General features: G+C 52.2%; 1 long non-coding RNA gene, 2 gene segments (V, D, J or C) and 1 further gene; 3 read left to right on the top strand and 1 right to left on the bottom strand.

Moving 5' to 3' along the window:
* Window positions 1-23,168, top strand: part of IGH (immunoglobulin heavy locus) — a 1,293,408-nt gene that overhangs the window by 938,923 nt on the left and 331,317 nt on the right.
* IGHV6-1 (immunoglobulin heavy variable 6-1) lies at window positions 721-1,168 on the top strand. The segment is given in 2 exon segments: window positions 721-769; window positions 853-1,168. Coding segments are annotated over 2 exon segments (365 nt in total), but the record flags the coding sequence as incomplete, so codon positions are not given.
* FAM30A (family with sequence similarity 30 member A) lies at window positions 8,280-22,943 on the bottom strand. Its single transcript, NR_026800.2, has 6 exons — window positions 22,105-22,943; window positions 19,664-19,772; window positions 18,578-18,723; window positions 18,279-18,381; window positions 17,800-17,907; window positions 8,280-16,586 (listed from the first exon to the last, which is right to left on the bottom strand). It is a non-coding gene; the product is annotated as a family with sequence similarity 30 member A (long non-coding RNA).
* IGHD1-1 (immunoglobulin heavy diversity 1-1) lies at window positions 21,404-21,420 on the top strand. The segment is given in 1 exon segment: window positions 21,404-21,420. A coding segment is annotated over 1 exon segment (17 nt), but the record flags the coding sequence as incomplete, so codon positions are not given.

The raw sequence follows: 23,168 nt of genomic DNA, 5'->3' as shown, positions 1-23,168 counted from the left end.
ATCCTGGGGTGTTTCCACCACCCTTGGGGTTTGGGATGAGCTGCCCTTGCCCACTGTGCTCTGTGGACCTCCCTTTAGAAGCTCACAGCTCCCTGCACTCGGCTCCATCCTGCCCCACCACACAGAAGCAAAACCCCTCTCCTTTCCACTGCAGGCTTTTCCTGGACCAGAATGCTGACCTGCTGCCCTTCACTCCCGAAGTGGTGGGACTGCCTGGGGTGGTGTGGGTGTTGAGCCTTCTTACTCTAGGGACCTGGCACCTGGCCCCAGGGGCACAGGGATGGTGCATCTGCCTAGGGATGCCTCCTCATGCCAGGGGGTGGGGGTTAGTACCATCGGCCCTCAGGATTTGTTGCATGAATGAGTGAATGGGTGAATAAATGAAGGGGATCTGATCTATGAATAAGGGTATATAGACTTTGGTTGATGTAGGACGCCAAATGCTGGAATTTCAGAGTCATCACACCCAGGGGCCCTGCCTCTGAGCTCCTCTTTGCATCCAATCTGCTGAAGAACATGGCTCTAGGGAAACCCAGTTGTAGACCTGAGGGCCCCGGCTCTTCAATGAGCCATCTCCGTCCCGGGGCCTTATATCAGCAAGTGACGCACACAGGCAAATGCCAGGGTGTGGTTTCCTGTTTAAATGTAGCCTCCCCCGCTGCAGAACTGCAGAGCCTGCTGAATTCTGGCTGACCAGGGCAGTCACCAGAGCTCCAGACAATGTCTGTCTCCTTCCTCATCTTCCTGCCCGTGCTGGGCCTCCCATGGGGTCAGTGTCAGGGAGATGCCGTATTCACAGCAGCATTCACAGACTGAGGGGTGTTTCACTTTGCTGTTTCCTTTTGTCTCCAGGTGTCCTGTCACAGGTACAGCTGCAGCAGTCAGGTCCAGGACTGGTGAAGCCCTCGCAGACCCTCTCACTCACCTGTGCCATCTCCGGGGACAGTGTCTCTAGCAACAGTGCTGCTTGGAACTGGATCAGGCAGTCCCCATCGAGAGGCCTTGAGTGGCTGGGAAGGACATACTACAGGTCCAAGTGGTATAATGATTATGCAGTATCTGTGAAAAGTCGAATAACCATCAACCCAGACACATCCAAGAACCAGTTCTCCCTGCAGCTGAACTCTGTGACTCCCGAGGACACGGCTGTGTATTACTGTGCAAGAGACACAGTGAGGGGAAGTCAGTGTGAGCCCAGACACAAACCTCCCTGCAGGGATGCTCAGGACCCCAGAAGGCACCCAGCACTACCAGCGCAGGGCCCAGACCAGGAGCAGGTGTGGAGTTAAGCAAAAATGGAACTTCTTGCTGTGTCTTAAACTGTTGTTGTTTTTTTTTTTTTTTTGGCTCAGCAACAGAGATCATAGAAAACCCTTTTTCATATTTTTGAAATCTGTTCTTAGTCTAATGGAGATTCTCTAATATGTGACAATGTTTTTCTCTTGCTGTTTTTGGAATTCTTTGTCTTTGACTTTTGACAACTTGACTTTTGACAGTGTGCCTCAAAGAAGTTCTATTTTGGGTTCTGTGAACCTCCTGGATCTGGGAAGTTTTCAGCTATGATTTCATTAAACGTGTTTTCTACACCATTTCCCTACTCTTTTGGAATACCCATAATGCAAATATTTGTTCACTTAATTGTGTCCCATAAATGCTGGGGATTTTCTTCATTCCTTTTTACTCTTTTTTTCTTTTTATTCATCTGCCTGAATTATTTCAAAAGATCTGTCTTCAACTTCAGAAACTCTTTTGCTTGGCCTAGTCTAATCTTGAAGGTCTCAATTGTACTTTTAATTTCATTCATTGAATTCTTCAACTCTGGAATTTCTGTTGGTTCTTTTTTATGATACTTATCTCTTTGTTGAATTCCTCATTCAAATGATAAATTGTTTTCCTGATTTCACTGAATTTTCTATCTGTACACTATTGTATCTCCCTGAGTTTCTTAGAGATTATCCTTTTGAATTATTTTTCTGACATTCTGTATATTTCCTTATGATTGGGGTCTGCTACTGGAGAATGACTGTTGTCTTTTTCAGGTGTCGTGTTTCCTGGCCTTTTCATGTTTTATGTGTTCCTACGTTGATTTCTACACATCTGGCGGACCAGTCATCCCTTGCAATTTAATGGAGTAGGTTTTGCAGGAAAAGACTTCCTAGTACAGACGGGTCTCAGGGTGTCAGTGTGGCGGGGCGTGCTGGCTTTAGTTCTAGGTTGACGCAGTAGCGTAGTCTCCATGTCGTTTCTTCAGCTGCCGTCCACATTGGTGACGTTTGCGAGTGTCTCAGTGGCCTGGGCTGAGAGGTTTGTGGCAGTGGAAGTGCAACGTTGCTAGAGGTGGACTCACCAGGCTGTTTCTGAGGTCGGGGCACATGCATGCACATGGTGGATTGACCAACTTGGTGCCAGGCTCACTAGGGTTGGGGACATGGGGCTGTTTCTCAGGCCCAGGATGCAAACACAAGTCTCTTTGGCTGGCCTGGGGGTGTGGCTTCTGAGGGCAATCCACAGGGCTGTTTCTCAGGTTCAGGACACAAGTGCATGGCCGCTCAACTGGCCTGGGCATGTGTCTCCCAGGGCCACCCCATGGGCTCTTTCTCAGACCCAGGACATGGCCACATGGCTTCCTCAGCTGGCCTGGGTGTGTGTCTGCTGGGGGGCTGCAGGGGCACAGGGTTATTTCTCAGGCCGGGGTCATGGGCGCACAGCTGCTTGCTGGCTTATAGGAGTGCCTGCCAGGGGTGGCCCATGATGCTGTTTCTCAGGCCTAATTTCAGGTGCAGAGCCTTTGGGCAGGTCAACGGCATACCTGTGGAAATTGGAGTGGATGCCACAGGGCTATTTCTCAGGTGCCTGAGTGTGGGCACATATCCACTCTGCCAGCCTGGAGTTAGTATCAGGTGCTCGGTGGCTCAGGGGCCTCTCCTGCTCAGGGGAGGGCCCTCAGCAGCTTGGCCAAATCAATGGTGGATTCACCCTGGGCAGGCCTGGCAGGCTCTTCCTCCAGCTGGATGTGCAGCAGCAGGGGTTGGGTTTTTTGCTGTGCAGGGCCAGAGTCACGGCCAATCCTCAGCCTAGGCTCTGCACAGCCAGGGTTGTGGCATTCAGCCACCCAGATATGGGCATCCTGAAGATGGAGCCCCAATGCTAGAAAGGGGCAGTGGCTACCAGCCTCAGGGCAGGATGCACTCCAGAGGCGGCTCCGGTCTCAAGGTGGCGCTGGGCTGCAGCAGCTAGGCTCACAGTGGATGAATGGGGGCAGGGAGTACACACCTTGTGCTCCTAATCTGGGATCATTCCTGGCAGCTCCCAAACTTGGCTGAGGGCTTGCAAAACCTGTGGAATTCTCCTGTTGCAAGGGCTGTAGATGTTTGCAGTGGCAGTGGGTGCTGGCGGGAAATCTGCTTACCTTTTCCCTACATGGGAAGTCCCTCCTGTGTCCAGACCAATCCGATCTGGGTGGGGAAGACAAGGCTGCAAAGGCCAGGTGCCTCCATGCTGCCCTCCGATCACCACGGGTGCGTTTCCACACCTCCACTGCACTCCGTCAGTCTCCCTTCAACACTCCAGTCAAACCTTAGCTGTTTCTTCTTTGCCTTATTCCTTCCTCATGGGGAGGGTGTGGGTGAACACCAGGCTTCTCTAAGTTCTTCATCCATCTTGCTGATGTCATTCTCCATCCAGGCATGGGTTTTTAAGAAGTAGTGAATACTGAAATTTCAGCAGAGGACACCTCTATAAAAATTCTGCAACTGGAAAACCTCCTTAAATTGGCTGATTGTCATTACAATTGGAGGAAAACTGCCAATAATTTCAAATTTAGAAGGCTGAGACTCTATAAACAAAGACTAACAATATGTTTTCTGATATTTTTCCCCAAAATAATACTTTTCCAAGACGAAAATTTTTCCAGGGTATATAAGCACATGTGCTCCAATGATACAACAAATACTTACTAATCATAAGCAAATACCTTAAATGTCTTATAACATCTTTCACACAAAAGCTGTTGCATGTCTATTAGCTAAAAATTCTTATGTCTCGTCCAGATCATGCAGCATGAGCAAAGGGATTTTTGACCTTCAAAAGTCTCAGTACTAACTGAGGACTTTACACAAATTGGAAATGGTCACCTGCATTTCATGGTGGTGGTGGGGAGCTTTTGCACTGGAAAATCCTTCTGTAGAGAAGATTCCATTATCTTGGTAAAATTACATAGTTTTATTTTGCAGATTGGGATTACCAACTGATAAAGGGTTACTGATGTGGAAGTTTTCCTACTTTATTCTCCTATTAGGTTCCTATGTGATATGGTTTGGCTCTGTGTCCCCACCCCAATCTCATCTCCAATTGTAATTCCCATGTGTCCAGGGAGGGTCCAGGTGGGAGTGATTAGATCAAGGGTGGTTTTTCCCAGGCTGTTTTCATGATAGGGTGTTATCATGAGATATGATGGTTTAAAAGTGGCAGGTTCCCCTGCTCTCTCTCTCGCCTGCTGCCACATAAGACGTGCCTTGCTTTCCCTTCACCTTCTGCCATGATTGTAAGTTTCCTGAGGCCTCCCCAGCCATGCGGAACTATGAGTCAATTAAACCTCCTCTCTTTATAAATTACCCAGTCTCAGGTAGTATCTTTATAGCGGTGTGAAAATGGACTAATACACTATGGCTTTGAATTAATAATTTAAAATTTGTCAGCTTGGCAATAAAACATCCTGTTGACATTTATTTTTTAGGTAATATTTTAAATTGGCAGTTTCATTCATGTTTTTACAAATTCTTATTTTCAGGGTGTTTAAGGCCTTTGCTTTGAACTTGGTGGTTCCTTACACTCCATGCTGTTAGTGAAGAGGGACCAGGTTGGGAGGCATTGGTTTGGGTGGTGGTCAGGAAGGGCAGAGTGATTTGAGTAGGGTCTGAGTGGATAATAGCTCATCAGTTTGGAATTTATAAATGACCAGGGATGATTTAAGGAGATTCCTGCCAGACACCTATGCCATGGCCATGCCCTATCTGGATCTCCAGCCGTGAGATGAGAACCCAGCCATGCGGGGGAGTCTGTTCGTTCTGCTCAATGTTGTAAGTGGCACATGCTATTGGATAATGTAGAATTGAATGGATATCATTTTATTATTATAATTTACAAACTTCCTACAATAAACTTATCACCTTTATACATAGAAACAAATATAAGTACATTTTCCCTCCCCTATGTCATTTTGAGCCCCTCTCTCCAAACCATCCTCCCACTCTGCGACCTCACTGTCCCTGCATTTGGCTATGCTCTGGCAAGTCCCTGCTTAGACAAGCACTCACCAGACCACCCTACTCAGCCTCCCCTTCAGCGCCCACCTGGCCCACCTGCTCAAATACATGTTGAGTGGTCACACACATGGACTGAACACCATCTATTCCATGCACTGCCCCAGTGACCGCACTGAGCAGCAAGAGAGAAATGATGCATTAGCTATCAAGGATGCCAATTCAAATGCTGGAGTCTTTCTCAGATACTTTTCAATGTTCAAGAATTGTTGATTGTGAATTCTATACCCAATGAAACTATCCTTCAGAAATGAGCAGAAAATGGATACCTTCTCAAATAAACAAAAACTAAAAGAATTCTTGCTACAAGATGTACTCTTAAAGACTGGCTAAAGGAAGTTCTTCAAACAGCAAGGAAATTGAATTGATCTTATGTCCTGCACACTTGCTAAATTTCCTCTCAATTTTAGCAGCACTGTTTAGATTCCATAGGATTTTCCATACAAACAGTCATGTGGTCTATATATAGAGACAGATTTTCCTCTTTTCCAGTGGGGATAAATTTATGTCTTTTTCTTTCTGTGTTACAGCAGGTAGGACCTCCAGTACAATGTTAAACAGAAGTGGTGAAAACAGACATTCTTGCCTGTTTCCTAACGTTGGAGTTTGGTCTTTTACTATGGTGTCAGATGTTAGCTGTAGGGTTTTTATAAATGCCCTTCATCACATTGAGGAAGTTTGCTCCTATGCCTAATTTTCTGAGAGTCTTTTAATGTGACACTCATGCTAGAATTTATTAAATGCTTTCTGTCTACTAAGATGATTATGCAGTTCTTATATTAACATGAATAATTACATTTATTTATTCTTTAATATCAAGGCAATTTTGCATTCCTGAGACAAACCCCATTTAGTCATCATGTGTTGTTATTGTTACATATTGTTGGATTCAATTTCCTCAAAATTTGTTAAGAATTGTTACATCTATGTTTACAAGGAAGATTAGTCTGTAGGGTATTTTTTCTTATAATAACTTTGCCTAGTTTTGCAATCAGGGTAATGCTGGACTCACAGAATGAGTTGGGAAGCTATTTCCTCCTCTTCATTTTTCTGAAAGAATTTGTATAAAATTGGAATTATATCTTCCTTAAAGGTTTGCAAGATTTCATAATGAAGTCATTGGCCTAGAGTTTTCTTTGTGGGAAAGTCTTTGTTTGTTTGTTTTGTGGTTTGGGTTTTTTTTTAAGAGACACAGTCTCACTCTGTTGCCCAGGCTGGAATGCAGTGGTGTAATCATAGCTCACAGCAGCCTCAACCTCCTGGGCTCAAGCAATCCTCCTACCTCAGCCTTCAGAGTAGCTGGGACTACGGGCATGTACCACCACACCCAGCTGTTTGTTTGTTTGTTTATCGCTTTGTCTTGTTTTTGAGGTCTTATTATGTTGCCCAGGCTGGTCTTGAACTCCTGGCCTCAAGTAATCCTCATGCCTCAGCCTCCCACAGTGCTGGAATTACAGGCATGAGCCACTGCACACAGACTGTGGGAAAGTTTTTAACTAAAAATTCAATTTTCTCTTCCTTTTCCAGTGAGCTTTCCAGTGTCTTTCAATTAATGTATCTATTTTATCTAAGTTGTTGAATTTATTGTCAAAATTTTTTTAAACAATATTCCTCTCTTAGAGGTTGAACATCTGTAGAATCTGTAGTGATGGCACCTCTTAAATCCCTGATCTTGCTCATCTGTGTCGTCTCTCTTTCTCTAATCAGTATGCCTAAAGTTTAATTTCATTGATTTTCTTAAAAAACTGGTTTTGGTTTTATTGATTTTTTTCCCTAGTTTTTTGTGTTACATTTCATTGACTTCTGCTCTGATATTTACTATTTCCTTTCTACTGCCTACAGTAAGTTTAATTTGCTATTTTCTTAGTTTCCTAAAGTGGAAGCTAAGTTTATTGACTTGAGGCCTTTCCTCTGTCTGGATGCGGATATTTGCTGCTAAACATTTCCCTCCAACACCATGCTGTGAGTTTTAGTTACAGCGGGCTTGGAGTTGGCCTGAGAAATTCTACTTAAACAGCTGCACCTATCATGTAAGTGATAAATGATGTACCTGCCTGGCCCTCACCCCTGGTCAAAGAATGGGATGTACTAATGAGCAATGTTGCTGCGTAGCTGTGGATTTCAAGGTATTTTCTGTGTGGTTTTATCATCAGCATTGTTTGTTGATGACTGCAAGACTGATGATTTGCACCTGGCCTCGGTGAGATCCCCGAAAGACCCTGCAGATGGGCTGGTTACTTAGCAGAAAATATGACAACGTGGCCAGCAGGAAACAGGAAGGTACAATCGGCTGCAGGTGAGCTGTTGGAAGTAAGTTCCAATTTTCCTATTTTGTATTTGCATTTTAATAGTGAGACTGCGCTTATGTTATTTGTGTGAAACAGCTTTATTCATAGCACTGTAATTTAAAGAGAAAACCCATTCATGGGAACAACAAACGACCTAGACACCAAGGTAGCTCATGCCATCCAAGGCTATACTGTGCAGTGATTGGGAAAATGGGCACTGGTCCCAGAAGTCTGATCGACACTCTGCCACTGGCTAGTCCCGTGCTGGGGGGCGAGGATCCACACTCTGCCACTGGTTAGTCCCATGCTGGGGACAAGTATCCACACTCTGCCACTGGCTAGTCCCGTGCTGGGGGGCGAGGATCCACACTCTGCCACTGGTTAGTCCCATGCTGGGGACAAGTATCCACACTCTGCCACTGGCTAGTCCCGTGCTGGGGGGCAAGGATCCACACTCTGCCACTGATTAGTGTTGTGAAGATTTAAATAAAGAACCCACACCATATTCTTTGACTTGTGCTTTCCGTATACTGAGAGATAGTAAGAGTACATTATTATTATTTATAAAGTAAACTAGAAAGCACATGGGAAGACAAGAAGAAAACCTGAATAAACATGAATTACCCCATTTTCCTCAGGAGAAAACTTTCACACTCTGAAGGTACACAAATTAGCCTACAAATTTAATGTAAAGCAAATAGACTGTTGTAGGTACCAATTCTCAATGTCACAGTGTTACATGGAAAGTAAAATACACAAGAACAGCCCAAAAGATGGAAACAATGGACGTGGTCAAATGACATCAGTACAACATCCATATGGTCCTAAGTAGCCATCTTTAAAATGGGTTAGAAATGCCTTCAATCATTCACACAGACACATGCATTGAACAAACTCTAAGAAGTGTTCTTACACGGGAAAAGCAAGTTACAGATGCATGGGCATGATATGGATGTAGATGTGTGTATGTGCATCCCACTCATACACAAAATACCCAGCATCGCCCACATGCCTGCTGTGTGCGTAAGTGTGAGCGAGTGCACAGACAACAGCGTGCAGAAATTCAAACCAAGCTGTGGGTACTTGTTACCACTGGGAAGGGAGTCGGTCACAGAGGGAAAGAGAAACAGGACATCAGCCTTTGACTTCAGAACTGTTCCTGCCTTTTCACATCCTGTGCTGTTTTCAGCATCGTCGGAGCCCTTAACACACATCACGGGAGTAAGAGTGTGTTAGAGGGAGCATTCGGTGGGACAGATATTGCCATGGCTTGTGGATAGAGTTCACAGTCCTTAATAATCCCCGAGATGGCAGCCAAGAGCTACGTTCTCAATCACGCAGCTTCACCCCAGAAACTGACAGAAACCCAACAACCAAAAGGTGTCCATTCTGACAGCCTCAGCCTGTGCTGGCTCAGATGAGCAAAAATGTACAGATATTAATAATGATGTTGATTTGAAGAGCACAGAGGGGGGTATGCATGATAAGGGTCCAAATTTTTACCTTAAAAAAGAATACATTTACTTCTCAATCACCTACATAACGATCATTTTTTAAAAAACTGATCAAATTTGGTGTTACAAGGGCACGTTGCAAATTCTTCTGGCTACTTTTCTCTGACTATTCTAATTACGTTACCGTGTTTTCTCCTGTATGTGCCCGTTCATGTGAATGTCATTTCTGGCTACTTTTCTCTGACTATTCTAATTACGTTACCGTGTTTTCTCCTGTATGTGCCCGTTCATGTGAATGTCATTTCTGGCTACTTTTCTCTGACTATTCTAATTACATTACCGTGTTTTCCTGTATGTGCCCGTTCATGTGAATGTCATTTCTGGCTACTTTTCTCTGACTATTCTAATTACGTTACCATGGTTTCTCCTATATGTGCCCGTTCATGTGAATGTCATTTCTGGCTACTTTTCTCTGACTATTCTAATTACGTTACCGTGTTTTCTCCTGTATGTGCCCGTTCATGTGAATGTCATTTCTGGCTACTTTTCTCTGACTATTCTAATTACATTACCGTGTTTTCCTGTATGTGCCCGTTCATGTGAATGTCATCCAGGCAGATTTCCCAAATCCGGCTTCCTGTAACCAAGGGCTGAAAGAGGGAACGGTTTCCTGGGAATCCTTTTTGCAGTTTATTTTACCCGGAGGCAGAAGCCCACGGTTCCGTGAAGAGTCTATTGCTCTCCCCTCTCTCCTTTTGTGTCTCTATTTTTAATTGACAAAAAAGCAAATGTGAAGATTCCTGGGGTACAATGCAAAGTGACAATGCCTGTCTATATTGTGGGATGATTAAAACAAGGTAAGTGGCATATCCATCACCTCACACACTTATCATTTTGTGGTGAGAACATTTAAAATCTCATCTTTTAGCAATTTTGAAATAGTCATTATTGTTAACTATAGTCACCATGCTGTGCAACAGATCAAAAGAACTGACTCCTCCCATCAGCAGAAACTTCATGCCCTTTGACCAGCATCTCTCCTTTCCCCGTCCACGACTAACCCCCAGCCCAAGAGAACAGCCAACACCCACCTCGCTGCTGCCACACGACATGTCGGGCTTTGATGGGATGGAGGTGAGGGTGGGGAAGACAATTCCAAAGCTGGAGCACTGGCCTCACAGCTCAGACACTCTTCTACTTATCCTGAGAGAATGATGTGCTGAGACCAACTAAACCTCCCCTGCTCTTCCCACATGGCAGAAAAGAGGCAACCCAGGGAAGCCATTGCCAGGACATCATGGTCACCCAACCCTTGTGCAGAAAGGAAGCACCTGCCCAGGATGCCATAGCACCCAACCCTCATCCCCAAGGAAACACAGCCCAGGGCACCATGGACACCCAACCGTCATCCCCAGGGGAGGACACAGCCCAGGGCACCATGGACACCCAACCCTCATCCCCAGGGGAGGACACAGCCCAGGGTATCTTGGACACCCAGCCCTCATTCCTAGGGGAGTACACAGCCCAGGGCATCTTGGACATCCAACCCTCATCCCCAGGGAAGGACACAGCCCAGGGCATCTTGGACACCCAACCCTCATTCCCATAAGAGCACACAGCCCAGGGCATCGTGGAGGCCCGACCCTCATCCCTAGGGGAGGACACAGCCCAGGGCACCATGGACACCCAACCCTCATCCCCAGGGGAAGACACAACCCAGGCCACCATTAACACCCAATCATGTGCAGGGAGGGTGTCCTTGGAGCCTGGGACTCTTGCCAGTGAAGCGGTGGACAAGAAACTGAGGATGCGATCAGCACACAGAAATCTCAGGCAGCCTAGGATACATGAGGCCTCTCACCCCTGGGAACACTGAGCAGCCACCAGGAGCCCACACCTTGAGGTACAGCAGGAGCCATGCGCTCTTGCTCTTGCTCACTCACACTCCTGCACACAGCCACTGACACACGCCCTCGTGCACGTTGCAGATTAACTCCACTGGCCTTGCACTTGCAACGCTGGAGGCTGAGAGGTATCCCCAGGTTCTTTTCTCGTGAGAGGGGCAGGCTGACTTTCACTCTCCTCCATGTGCTAGAGGCAGCTCCACCAACACTGGCTGCCCTGAGTGGATGCACCTGGCTCTGGAATTCCTGTCATTTGCTTTGGATCCAGGAGCCCCTGCCTCATGTAGCTACTTAACAGAAAGGAGGAATCCACCCAGGACATGCCCAGACGGGAGCCTCACAGGATGGACAGTGGTGTCTGGGGTCACGGGCAGCCCTGACCCAGCAGCGCCAGCACCAGCACACCCAGTGGGGAAGGCGGGGAGGCCCAAACGCCACCCACAGTTTGTTACTCCACTGGGTGGGACCCGGCACCCCTGCCTTCCTGACACCCTGGAGTCCCTGCCTCTTCCTAGAGCCCCCAAGCCCATCTGCCTCAGAGCATCCAGAGACAGACCTGGGGAGCCATTTCCTCAGGCCCTGGACAAGGAAACAGGGAATTCCAGGTTATGGGTGCCTGGGGCAGGTCTCAGGCAGGTGCTGGGAACCAGAGAGAGGGGTCACCGCGAGGCCTCAGGCCTGGCACCAGCACTTTGAGCCTCAGTTTACCAGCCCACGAGGTGCTGAGTCTGGACTGGATGACCTTCCCACCCCCAGTGACCTCTGCCCTTTCCCGAGCATGTCAGCTCTGCTCCAGCATCCTGGTGTGAGCGCAATGCCACTTTTTTTCTCAACAAATACGAAAGGAGGAAGGTGCCCCCAGGGCCCTGTGCCCTGAGGATGCCTGTGTGGAGGGGTCCATTTCATCACTGGTGTCACTCACAGGAAGGGACGAAGCCACCTGCCTTGACGGAGCTTACTCCACCTCCGCCGAAGGCCGGGGAGGTCCCTCACAGAGAACCTGAGGCCCAGCAGGCTGCAGAGGTGCTGGCATGGAATGACTGCTCAGACGCCCGGGGCCGGCAGAGAGGACGGATGTGGGGGAGGTGCACACTGAGGAGCCTCTCCTTGGAGGTGGAGACACGTGCACCACATGGACCAGGACACAGTCCACGAAGCCTCGCATCCCCCTGAGCTGCAGCTCAAGGGCCTCTCTCTGAGCCCAGAGTCCCACCCCTGGGAGGCAGCTGCCCCAGCTCTGAGGGAGGAGGGCATCCACCAGGCCCTCCATCTCCTGGGGGCACCAGCCCAGCCCAGAGGCTCTGCAGGACTCTGCACCTCCAATTCATGGCCAGGACTTTCTGGATGTATCTTAAGGACTGAGGACTCCACATCAGGGACCACACAAGACCGGGGTCCCGGACACGGGGGTTGGGGGTGAGCATGTCACCGGGATGGGCTGTGGCGTCACTCTGGTACTTCATCCGGACAGCCAGGGACCAAAGCCACGCCCTCAGCCCCACCCCACCCCTGCCTCACATGGCAACGCAGGGTCTGCAGATGCAGGAGAGTGAGAAGCATGGTAGCCAGGCAGACTAGAGGACCCGAGCTGGGGTTGAGCACCTCCCTGTCTACCCAGGGCATGGCCTGTGAGACTGCAGGTGGCCTAGTGTGTGCTGCAGGCTCAAGGTCCTGCCCCAGGGAGCATGACATTCAGGCCCAGAAATTGCATCGTGCTGCACACAGTCCAAGGGGATAACCCTGTGAAGTTCAGGTCACCAGCAGGCTTGGGGTCAAGACCGAGCTGCAGAGGACAGGTTTCTGGAAGGCACAGCATCATGGGTGGAGGGACTTGGAGCAAGGTCCTTAGCCCCGGGACCAGTGAATGTGTGCCCTTATAGGGAAAGGGGGTCTTTGCAGAAGCAAGTTAGCTGAAAATCATGAAGTGGAGAGGCTCCCCTGGATTAAAGGGGTGAGCCCTAATGTAATCACAAGTGTCCTTCTAGGAGGTTGGCAGAGGGAGACTGACATAGACAGAAGCCAGGTGAGGTGGGAAGCGGAGGCAGAGGCCGAGAGAGCAGACGCTACGCCCTGGCCCTGAAGACGGAGGAGGAGCCGAGAGCTCAGGGATGGAGAGACTGGAGGAGGCAGGGAAGTTCTCCCCGCAAGCCTGGAGGGAGCATGGCCTCCAGCACCCCCAGACCTTGGCCCTGCAGGATTCATCTGGACCTGTGGTATAAATGGTGTTTAAGCCACTGGGCTGTGCAAATTGTCATAGCAGCCATGGCGCATTCCTAGAGGGAGCCCTGGTGGGGACCCAGCAGGCAGCGACGGGGCCCTCACAAGCCTGTGAGCCACTCAGAGCCGCGAGAGTGGCTAGGCTTGGTGAGGTGCAGGCCACGCGCACCTCCACTAAGGCAGCCTTAGGGCCCACACTTCCTCTCTCTCTCTCTCTCTCTCTCTCTCTATCTCTCTCCCTCCCTCCTTCCCTCCCTCCCGCTCTCTTGGTTGGACAGCTCTCCATCATCCCCCTGGACACGACCACCTCCCAAGGCCGAGCTGGGGCGCTTTGCTCGAGGTGAGCACTGACATCCTGGGGGTGTGAGGGGCACCTGCCCAGCGGCCCCGTGTGCAGGATGGGCGGTGGGCCCTAGCTGGCACTGGGCATATGGCCCGGCTGGTGCCTGCAGGCTGCAGCTTTTCTGGGGTGGCTGGGATCAGTGAAGGCCTCCAGAGTCTGGGCCTGGGATCCCTGCAGTGCTGGCTGAGGACAGGCGGGGCTGGGCAGTGAGGGCACTGGGTCACTATCACCACCCACGGTTTATTACTTCACTAGGTGGGACCTGGCACCCCTGCCTTCCTGACACCCTGGAATCCCTGCCTCCTCCTACAGCCCCCAAGCCCATCTCCCTCAGAGCCTCCAGAGACAGACCTGGGGAGGCATTTCTTCTGCCCCCAGCAGAAGCCCGGGAGGCCGGGAAGGCACAGTGGGTCTAAAGGAGAGGATCCCAGGACTGCCTGAGGGGTGACTCCGACGAGGCAAGCATAGAGCCCACTGAGAAGCGGGGTGGGAGCCCCACCAGGGATGGGCTAGTTCCTCATGAAGGACCAGGACCCAGGAAGGACAAGGGGGCCTGCTGGGGCAGGGTCTGCTATGCCGGAGTCCCTGTGAGCCTGGCCCAGACCTGCCTCTCTCTTTCCTCATTGGTCCCCACAGGTCCGTGGTGGTTGCCGTATCGGGAGGCCCCATGGTGGCAGGGGTGGGACACCTGGTATACGTCGCCAGGTGTGTCCAATAGGCTCATGCTCACACCTTCTCCTGGCACCTGGGCAAAGCCTGAGCACCCAGGCACTGAAGTGAGGGCAAGGCCTCGGGGCCCCACAGGATGGCCGAGGAGACAGCTGCAGGGCGCCTGGGACCCCTGGGCTCAGGAGGTAGAAGGATACAGCCTGAAAACCCACACCACAAGCTCACCGGCCAGTGCAGGCCCACAGAGCTCGAGGAGGCAGCCCTGAGCCTCCCAGGGAGAGATGCTCTGTGCACGCCGGCACAGGCCCTGGGTTACAAACCCTAGGCACAGCCCAGGAGAGGCCCAGGCCCCAGTCCAGCAAGGGGTTGCAGGAAGCAAGAGGTCCCCGGCCACAGCATGAGATAAGCCCATCAAGCCAGGGCCAGGTGGGCAATGGGAGGCAGGCAGGGCTTGGGGGTGAGTCCCTGCTGCAGCGCCGTCCACTGTCGACCGGAGGAGTTTCTTCCCTGTGCGGAGTCCACGGGCCTCCTGTGAGTGTGTGCATGGGCACAAGTGTGTGTGTGGCTCTGCTGTGTGTCTGTACACACGTATGTTTTGGGTTTTTTTGTGTCTCAGACCACAGAGTCTGCCCCTCCCACCAAAGCCCAGGCAGAAGGATGAACCCACGCCCCTGGGGCCCAGGCCTCAGCAGCCTCTGCAGGATCATTGTTCCCAGTTGTCACTTGCCTTTGCCACAGCCCTATTTCTCCACAATTCCTTAAAGTCCTCAACATGCATTTAAGGCACAAAGGTGAAACTGCCCAGAAACATCTGACTCCGCCGTGGAACCCAGGAGCAAGCTGGGTTAGCTAAGGAGCGGGGCCGTTGGCAGAGGCTGGGGATCCAGGCTGAACTTTGGAGGAGGCATGTGCCAGCATGGGCTCCTGACTATGTCCTCCTGGGACAAACCCAAACCCACTCTTTGAATATGGGAGGGACTTTGCTGGCCCCGGCCCTGACCGCAGCACTTGGAAACTGAGGAGTGGTCGCCTCCTCCGTGTCACAGCTGCCCGTTCACCATCATAGAAGCAACTCTGTCACCTCCATGGGCCCCTCTGTGGCTGCTGCCTGGGTCCAAGCTGAGCCCAGCTGCCCAGGCCCAGAAGGAAAGCCCAGGCCAGGTGCCCAGCACAGAGGCAGTCACATACCCCGGGGAGAGCCACAGCAAGCAGCCAATGTTGCCCAGGAGAGGAGTAGCTGACAAGGTAGAACGTGAGCTGCCATCGGCTCGAGAGGCTTTGCTGGTCCTCCTGGGGCTCTGGACATGACCAGGAGGAGCGAGGGAAGAAGTCGCATGGTGGTCCCATCCTGGGTGGGGCCTGATGGCAGCTGGCCACCCGTCCCAGAGTGGCAGCCAGATGCCAGCGCCATTCCCACAGTCACATCATTGGTCACAGAATGCAGGACATAGAGTGTCTTCTTTCCATCACAGTGCTGTCCAGACCCATAGCCTAGGGTAGACCTGGAAGATTCAATGTCCACACCCGGGGCTGGAGCGTAGCCATGAGCCACGCCCCCTGCCCGTGCATGGAAAGCCAGCCCAAGCTCTGCTCCATCCCTAGCCAAAGTCAGTGTCCTTTCCCCTTCTCCCAAGTGAGCTCTAGCCACCTGCCTACCCTGCCATCTGAGGATGACAGCCTTCATTCCATTGGAACCTGGCTCTGCCACCAGCAGGCTTGCAGTCCTGGGCAGACTCCGTCACCTCTCTATGCCTCAGCCTTTCCATCTGCACAGGAGGAAGATGATGATGGTGGTGATGATGATGGCGATGGTTTCCTTTTGCATCTGAGGCAAGGACTAATTGAGATGATACACATCAGGCACTGGGTATGGTGCTGGTCCTTCCTGAGCACTCAATCTATGTGAGCTGTCCTTGTGAAATGGGTGTCACCACATTTCCCCACGCAGAACATCCTTTGTCTGCCATACTTGAAACGTCTGCCCCAATACTAACAGCTCCTCATGGAAGATGTGCACACCCACCCACCCTCATACTCCCAAAGGTGCCCGTGCTTTATCAAGCCAAAGTCCAGCCAGGAACTTTACAGCAGCATCCCTTTCCCTCTCCAAGCACCAAGGAGCAAGGCAAAGCACTACATCTTCCATCTGGAGGCAATGCCACCCTCTTCTCCCATTTTCACTGCCATCCCTAAGAGGCAGTGCTTCCCCAAAAGGTTCCATAGCAGCCTGCCTACAGCAACTCTGTTCACACGAGTTTCAGCATCCTTGCAGTGGCTCCCCTGCCATGCTGTGGCTCTTCATTCACCCTCTTCTCCTGCTCCCCGTGACAGGCATAGATTCTGAGTGATCTGGATACATTGCTTTGTTTAATAACATTACAGCTTCTGTGCTGAAAAAGATACAGCAGATAGAGAAGGCAATTGTTGAACACAAAATAGTGACAGCAGAGATGACGGCAAGTTGGCATTTTTCTTTTCTAGCAATAAAACTTAAAGCTGACTCAAGGAGAAATGGAAATCATAATTGGAACAGTAATCCTCAAGAAAGCATTAAGATTATTAAATAATTGCCCTCACAGATGACTTCAGGCCAAGATGGCTTTATGGGTGAAGTTTAGACTTTCACAAAACTAATCAGTTCCCATAAGAACTGCTCCAGGATTTGGAGGAACATGGGAAAGTCTATTAAAGGGATCACAATTCACAGTCCCCAGAGTAAAACATGGGCTAACTTGCATTTTGGCAAAGAGCCAAATGTTATAAATGACATCCTAGAAGGCCAAATTCTGTCCATCTCGTTGAACAAGGACTTACACCAGGAATTTAGAACTATTTATAGCTCATCCCACCACTCAGGCCAATGATGACCCATGATCATCTCACCAGAAATGGAAAGACTCAGATGATTAATAGAGTCTCAATTTCTCTGAGACATCTAAGAGCCCAGCCCAAGCCCAGACCCAGGAGGGCACCCAGGCCTGGACAGAGAACACTGATATCACACCAGCCCTCCAGAGGGAAGCAGAGACTCCTTCAAGCTCTGGAAACACAGGCCCAGACAGCTGCCTAAAGTTGGGCAGGCTTCACTGCAAACCCAAATCATGAAGCTAGGTAACACCTTTACAGATTCTTTACATTTAAAAATCATCAAAACAAGAGTAAATAATAAACTCAAATAATATTAATCTAATATGTAAAGGTCTTGTACCATTATTATGCAAACAACATACATAAGCTAATAAGAAAAAGAACAAATCCCTTAAGAAATCGGCAAAAAGGATATAACACAATTTCTAAAAGAAAACAAATGGCTAGCACACATAAGGAAAACACTTTGTGAACAGACATTCTTCAGAACATTATTTATAATTATAAAATAGTTGAAAGCAAGATAGTGCCTGAAGAAATTATGGTGCATACATTAGTGGGACTATTCTGCAAACATTCCCAATTATACTTGTCACATATCTGTGATAACGTGACAGCCAGCATTCATGGGGTGACCTCATTTGGTAAAAGGGTGCAAAGCTCAACACGCATTGTGAGATGACTGTGGTGTAAAATTAGTGGGATTATTCCGCAAACATTCCCAATTATACTTACCGCATATCTGTGATAACATGACAGCATTCATGGGGTGACCTCATTTGGTAAAAGGGTGCAAAGCTCAACACGCATTGTGAGATGACTGGTGTAAATACAAAGACCAAACTGTGAAAAGGAGTCCATCAATTAATCGATGCTTACCTTCAGTTTTGGGCTAATTTTTAAAGTATGCTATAAGCATATGCTCCTGTTATAACAGAATGGAGGGATTATGAGAGATGATGCAGGTGTGTCCTGGGCCTCCCCTGGCCCACTGGGCCCTAGAGATGCCTTCCCAGGCATCGCTGTCAGGGCTTCCCTCAGAGGGAGTCCTGTATTGACCTCACCACCAAGGTCTGGAGCAGGGGATCCTTAGATATTGGTTGGGGTTATCTCACCTTAGGTCTGAATTTGGGGTTGTCTTAGACTGTTTTGTGCTGTTAGAATAGAATACCCAAGACTGGGAAATTTATACTGAACGGAAATTTATTTCTCACAGTTCTAGAGGCTGTGAAGTCCAAGAGCACAGGTGCCAGAGCAAGTCCAAGAGCAAGGGAAAGTCCAAAGCAAGTCCAGGAGCATCTGGCGAGGACCTTCTTGCTGTGTCATCACATGGCGGAAGGCAAGAAAGAGAGCAAGAGGGGGCCGAACTCACCCTTTTATAACAGCACCAATCCCACCCATGAGGTGGGGACCTTATGACCTAATCACTCTTCATACTGTTACAATGGCAATGAAATTTCAACATGAGTTTTGGAGGAGAGAAGCATTCAAACCACAGCAAGGGTGCTCCTACCTCCTCTCTCAGGGCATCTGCAGAAAGAGCTGCAACTGCACGTCCTTCCTCCGTCCATCCTCCATCCCTTCCCAATGTCCGTGCATATCCTGTGACCCAGGAGGTCTGGCATAGGGGGTGCTCCTGCCTTAGGTCTGAGGCCCTGTCTGAAGAGGGGTAGGTGAGGAGGCCATCTGATGGTCTGGGCCAAGACAGTCACAGGACGCATCATTTATCATCAAGGAGGCTGAGGGTTGAGTCTCCAGGTCCAGGGAACTCCCCACAAAGTGGGAACCCTGCCCAGCTCCACACAGCCTCTGCTGGGGGACCCTGCTCTGGTGCAGAGCCTGGGGACAGGTCTTGAGCTCAGCCAGAGTCTGCCTCCCTGTCATTTAGGAACTAAACCAAGCGGCAGGATGCTGGAGCCCAGCCCCCATCTGACCTTACAGGGCCAAGGCTGGGGCCCTGGGTTCCCCTCAAGGCGCAGCAGGACTGGAGCCCCAGGCAGTGCAGGAGTGGCCAAAGCTGGGGCTTCCTCCAGAGCCCCCAAGCATCACGGCACCAAGAAGGGTAGGACCCTGGCCTGAGGAATTGGCACCAAAGCCCCAGAAACTACCCTGGACACCATGGAGAGAGGCCTGGAGGGGAAGCACCAGGCACTGCCTCCCCTTCTGATCCCACCTGAGGTGGCTGCCAAGCCCAGAGAGCCGCTCTGATGTCCCCCAGCCCTGCAGCCCAGGGATACCTGTACTGTGCCCCTGGGGGACCCCTGGCCAGTCTGTGCAAAGAAGTCACCACCCTACACTCAGAGACAGTGGGGGTCCTCGTCCCACATCCTCAGAGCATGGCCCGGCTGCTGCAGGGATGGTCTCCTGGTCCTCAGAGCATGGCCCGGCTGCTGCAGGGATGGTCTCCTGGTCCTCAGAGCATGGCCCAGCTGCTGCAGGGATGGTCTCCTGGAGGCCCCCCAGTGCTCTATTGTCAGGGCTCCCTCCACCCCCCGCACCAAGAGAGAGCCAGACCCCAGCAAGGCTTCCAGTGGCTTCAGGTCACACCCCTAGGCTGACCCCAGCCCCATTAACACCTGCCTGAGAAAGCTCCACGCACCAGAACTGACCGTCTGCTCCAACTCTTGACCTCCCGTTCTCAGGGCGTCTGCTGAAAAGGCTGCAACTGCACATCCTTCCTCCGTCCGTTCCCGATGTCCGTGTGTCTCCTGTGGCCAGGAAGGTCTTTCTCGGGACCTGAGAGCCGCTCCCTGAAGTGTCCCCATTGGGAAGGATGGGGCCTGTGTCTCCAGGCTCTGGGAGGACAGAATCCTGACCTCAACAGTGGCCGGCACGGACACAACTGGCCCCATCCCGGGGACGCTGACCAGCGCTGGGCAACTTTTCCCTTCCCCGACGACTGAGCCCCGAGCACCCTCCCTGCTCCCCTACCACCTCCCTTTACAAGGCTGTGGCCTCTGCACAGATGATAATGGAGCTTGGCTCATTCCCCTAGAGTCGGTAGGGAGTTAAGGACAAAACTCAGTTTCCTCCACCTGAACTCAAGTCTGCCTATGTTTACCTAATCACACCTGGTGGACAGTTTGGACAAACTTGCACACTCAGAGACACAGACACTTCTAGAAATCATTATCTCCCTGCCCCGGGGACCCCACTCCAGCAGAAGTCTGCTAGGCACTGGCCTGGGCCCTCCTGCTGTCCTAGGAGGCTGCTGACCTCCTGCCTGGCTCCTGTCCCCAGGTCCAGAGTCAGAGCAGACTCCAGGGACGCTGCAGGCTAGGAAGCCGCCCCCTCCAGGCGAGGGTCTAGTGCAGGTGCCCAGGACAAGAAAGATTGTGAATGCAGGAATGACTGGGCCACACCCCTCCCGTGCACGCCCCCTCCTGCCCTGCACCCCACAGCCCAGCCCCCCGTGCTGGATGCCCCCCCACAGCAGAGGTGCTGTTCTGTGATCCCCTGGGAAAGACGCCCTCAACCTCCACCCTGTCCCACGGCCCAAGGAAGACAAGACACAGGCCCTCTCCTCACAGTCTCCCCACCTGGCTCCTGCTGGGACCCTCAAGGTGTGAACAGGGAGGATGGTTGTCTGGGTGGCCCCTAGGAGCCCAGATCTTCACTCCACAGACCCCAACCCAAGCACCCCCTTCTGCAGGGCCCAGCTCATCCCCCTCCTCCTCCCTCTGCTCTCCTCTCGTCGCCTCTACGGGAAATCCGGGACTCAGCAGTAACCCTCAGGAAGCAGGGCCCAGGCGCCGTTTAATAGGAGGCTTCCTCACAATGAAACTTTTAGAAAGCCTTGACTACAATGATGACCTTGGTGTGGCTGTGAACACTGTCAGCTCCCACAGCTGCTGCAGCAAAAAATGTCCATAGACAGGGTGGGGGCCCGGGGTCGTCTGCTGTCCTGCTCAGCCCACAGCACGCATGGAGGATCTGAGGTGCCACACCTGACGCCCAGGCCAGAACATGCCTCCCTCCAGGGTGACCTGCCATGTCCTGCATTGCTGGAGGGACAGGGGCAGCCTATGAGGATCTGGGGCCAGGAGATGAATCCTATTAACCCAGAGGAAAACTAACAGGACCCAAGCACCCTCCCCGTTGAAGCTGACCTGCCCAGAGGGGCCTGGGCCCACCCCACACACCGGGGCGGAATGTGTACAGGCCCCGGTCTCTGTGGGTGTTCCGCTAACTGGGGCTCCCAGTGCTCACCCCACAACTAAAGCGAGCCCCAGCCTCCAGAGCCCCCGAAGGAGATGCCGCCCACAAGCCCAGCCCCCATCCAGGAGGCCCCAGAGCTCAGGGCGCCGGGGCAGATTCTGAACAGCCCCGAGTCACGGTGGGTACAACTGGAACGACCACCGTGAGAAAAACTGTGTCCAAAACTCTCTCCTGGCCCCTGCTGGAGGCCGCGCCAGAGAGGGGAGCAGCCGCCCCGAACCTAGGTCCTGCTCAGCTCACACGACCCCCAGCAGCCAGAGCACAGTGGAGTCCCCACTGAACCCCACTGAATGGTGAGGACGGGGACCAGGGCTCCAGGGGGTCATGGAAGGGGCTGGACCCCATCCTACTGCTATGGTCCCAGTGCTCCTGGCCAGAACTGACCCTACCACCGACAAGAGTCCCTCAGGGAAACGGGGGTCACTGGCACCTCCCAGCATCAACCCCAGGCAGCACAGGCATAAACCCCACATCCAGAGCCGACTCCAGGAGCAGAGACACCCCAGTACCCTGGGGGACACCGACCCTGATGACTCCCCACTGGAATCCACCCCAGAGTCCACCAGGACCAAAGACCCCGCCCCGGTCTCTGTCCCTCACTCAGGACCTGCTGCGGGGCGGGCCATGAGACCAGACTCGGGCTTAGGGAACACCACTGTGGCCCCAACCTCGACCAGGCCACAGGCCCTTCCTTCCTGCCCTGCGGCAGCACAGACTTTGGGGTCTGTGCAGAGAGGAATCACAGAGGCCCCAGGCTGAGGTGGTGGGGGTGGAAGACCCCCAGGAGGTGGCCCACTTCCCTTCCTCCCAGCTGGAACCCACCATGACCTTCTTAAGATAGGGGTGTCATCCGAGGCAGGTCCTCCATGGAGCTCCCTTCAGGCTCCTCCCTGGTCCTCACTAGGCCTCAGTCCCGGCTGTGGGAATGCAGCCACCACAGGCACACCAGGCAGCCCAGACCCAGCCAGCCTGCAGTGCCCAAGCCCACATTCTGGAGCAGAGCAGGCTGTGTCTGGGAGAGTCTGGGCTCCCCACCGCCCCCCGCACACCCCACCCACCCCTGTCCAGGCCCTATGCAGGAGGGTCAGAGCCCCCCATGGGGTATGGACTTAGGGTCTCACTCACGCGGCTCCCCTCCTGGGTGAAGGGGTCTCATGCCCAGATCCCCACAGCAGAGCTGGTCAAAGGTGGAGGCAGTGGCCCCAGGGCCACCCTGACCTGGACCCTCAGGCTCCTCTAGCCCTGGCTGCCCTGCTGTCCCTGGGAGGCCTGGACTCCACCAGACCACAGGTCCAGGGCACCGCCCATAGGTGCTGCCCACACTCAGTTCACAGGAAGAAGATAAGCTCCAGACCCCCAAGACTGGGACCTGCCTTCCTGCCACCGCTTGTAGCTCCAGACCTCCGTGCCTCCCCCGACCACTTACACACGGGCCAGGGAGCTGTTCCACAAAGATCAACCCCAAACCGGGACCGCCTGGCACTCGGGCCGCTGCCACTTCCCTCTCCATTTGCTCCCAGCACCTCTGTGCTCCCTCCCTCCTCCCTCCTTCAGGGGAACAGCCTGTGCAGCCCCTCCCTGCACCCCACACCCTGGGGAGGCCCAACCCTGCCTCCAGCCCTTTCTCCCCCGCTGCTCTTCCTGCCCATCCAGACAACCCTGGGGTCCCATCCCTGCAGCCTACACCCTGGTCTCCACCCAGACCCCTGTCTCTCCCTCCAGACACCCCTCCCAGGCCAACCCTGCACATGCAGGCCCTCCCCTTTTCTGCTGCCAGAGCCTCAGTTTCTACCCTCTGTGCCTACCCCCTGCCTCCTCCTGCCCACAACTCGAGCTCTTCCTCTCCTGGGGCCCCTGAGCCATGGCACTGACCGTGCACTCCCACC

This window comes from Homo sapiens, chromosome 14 (assembly GCF_000001405.40).
Source record: "Homo sapiens chromosome 14, GRCh38.p14 Primary Assembly".
Lineage (NCBI taxonomy): Eukaryota > Metazoa > Chordata > Mammalia > Primates > Hominidae > Homo > Homo sapiens.
The sequence above is the reverse complement of the archived record's forward strand: the minus strand, read 5'-3'. Positions and strand labels throughout refer to the sequence as shown.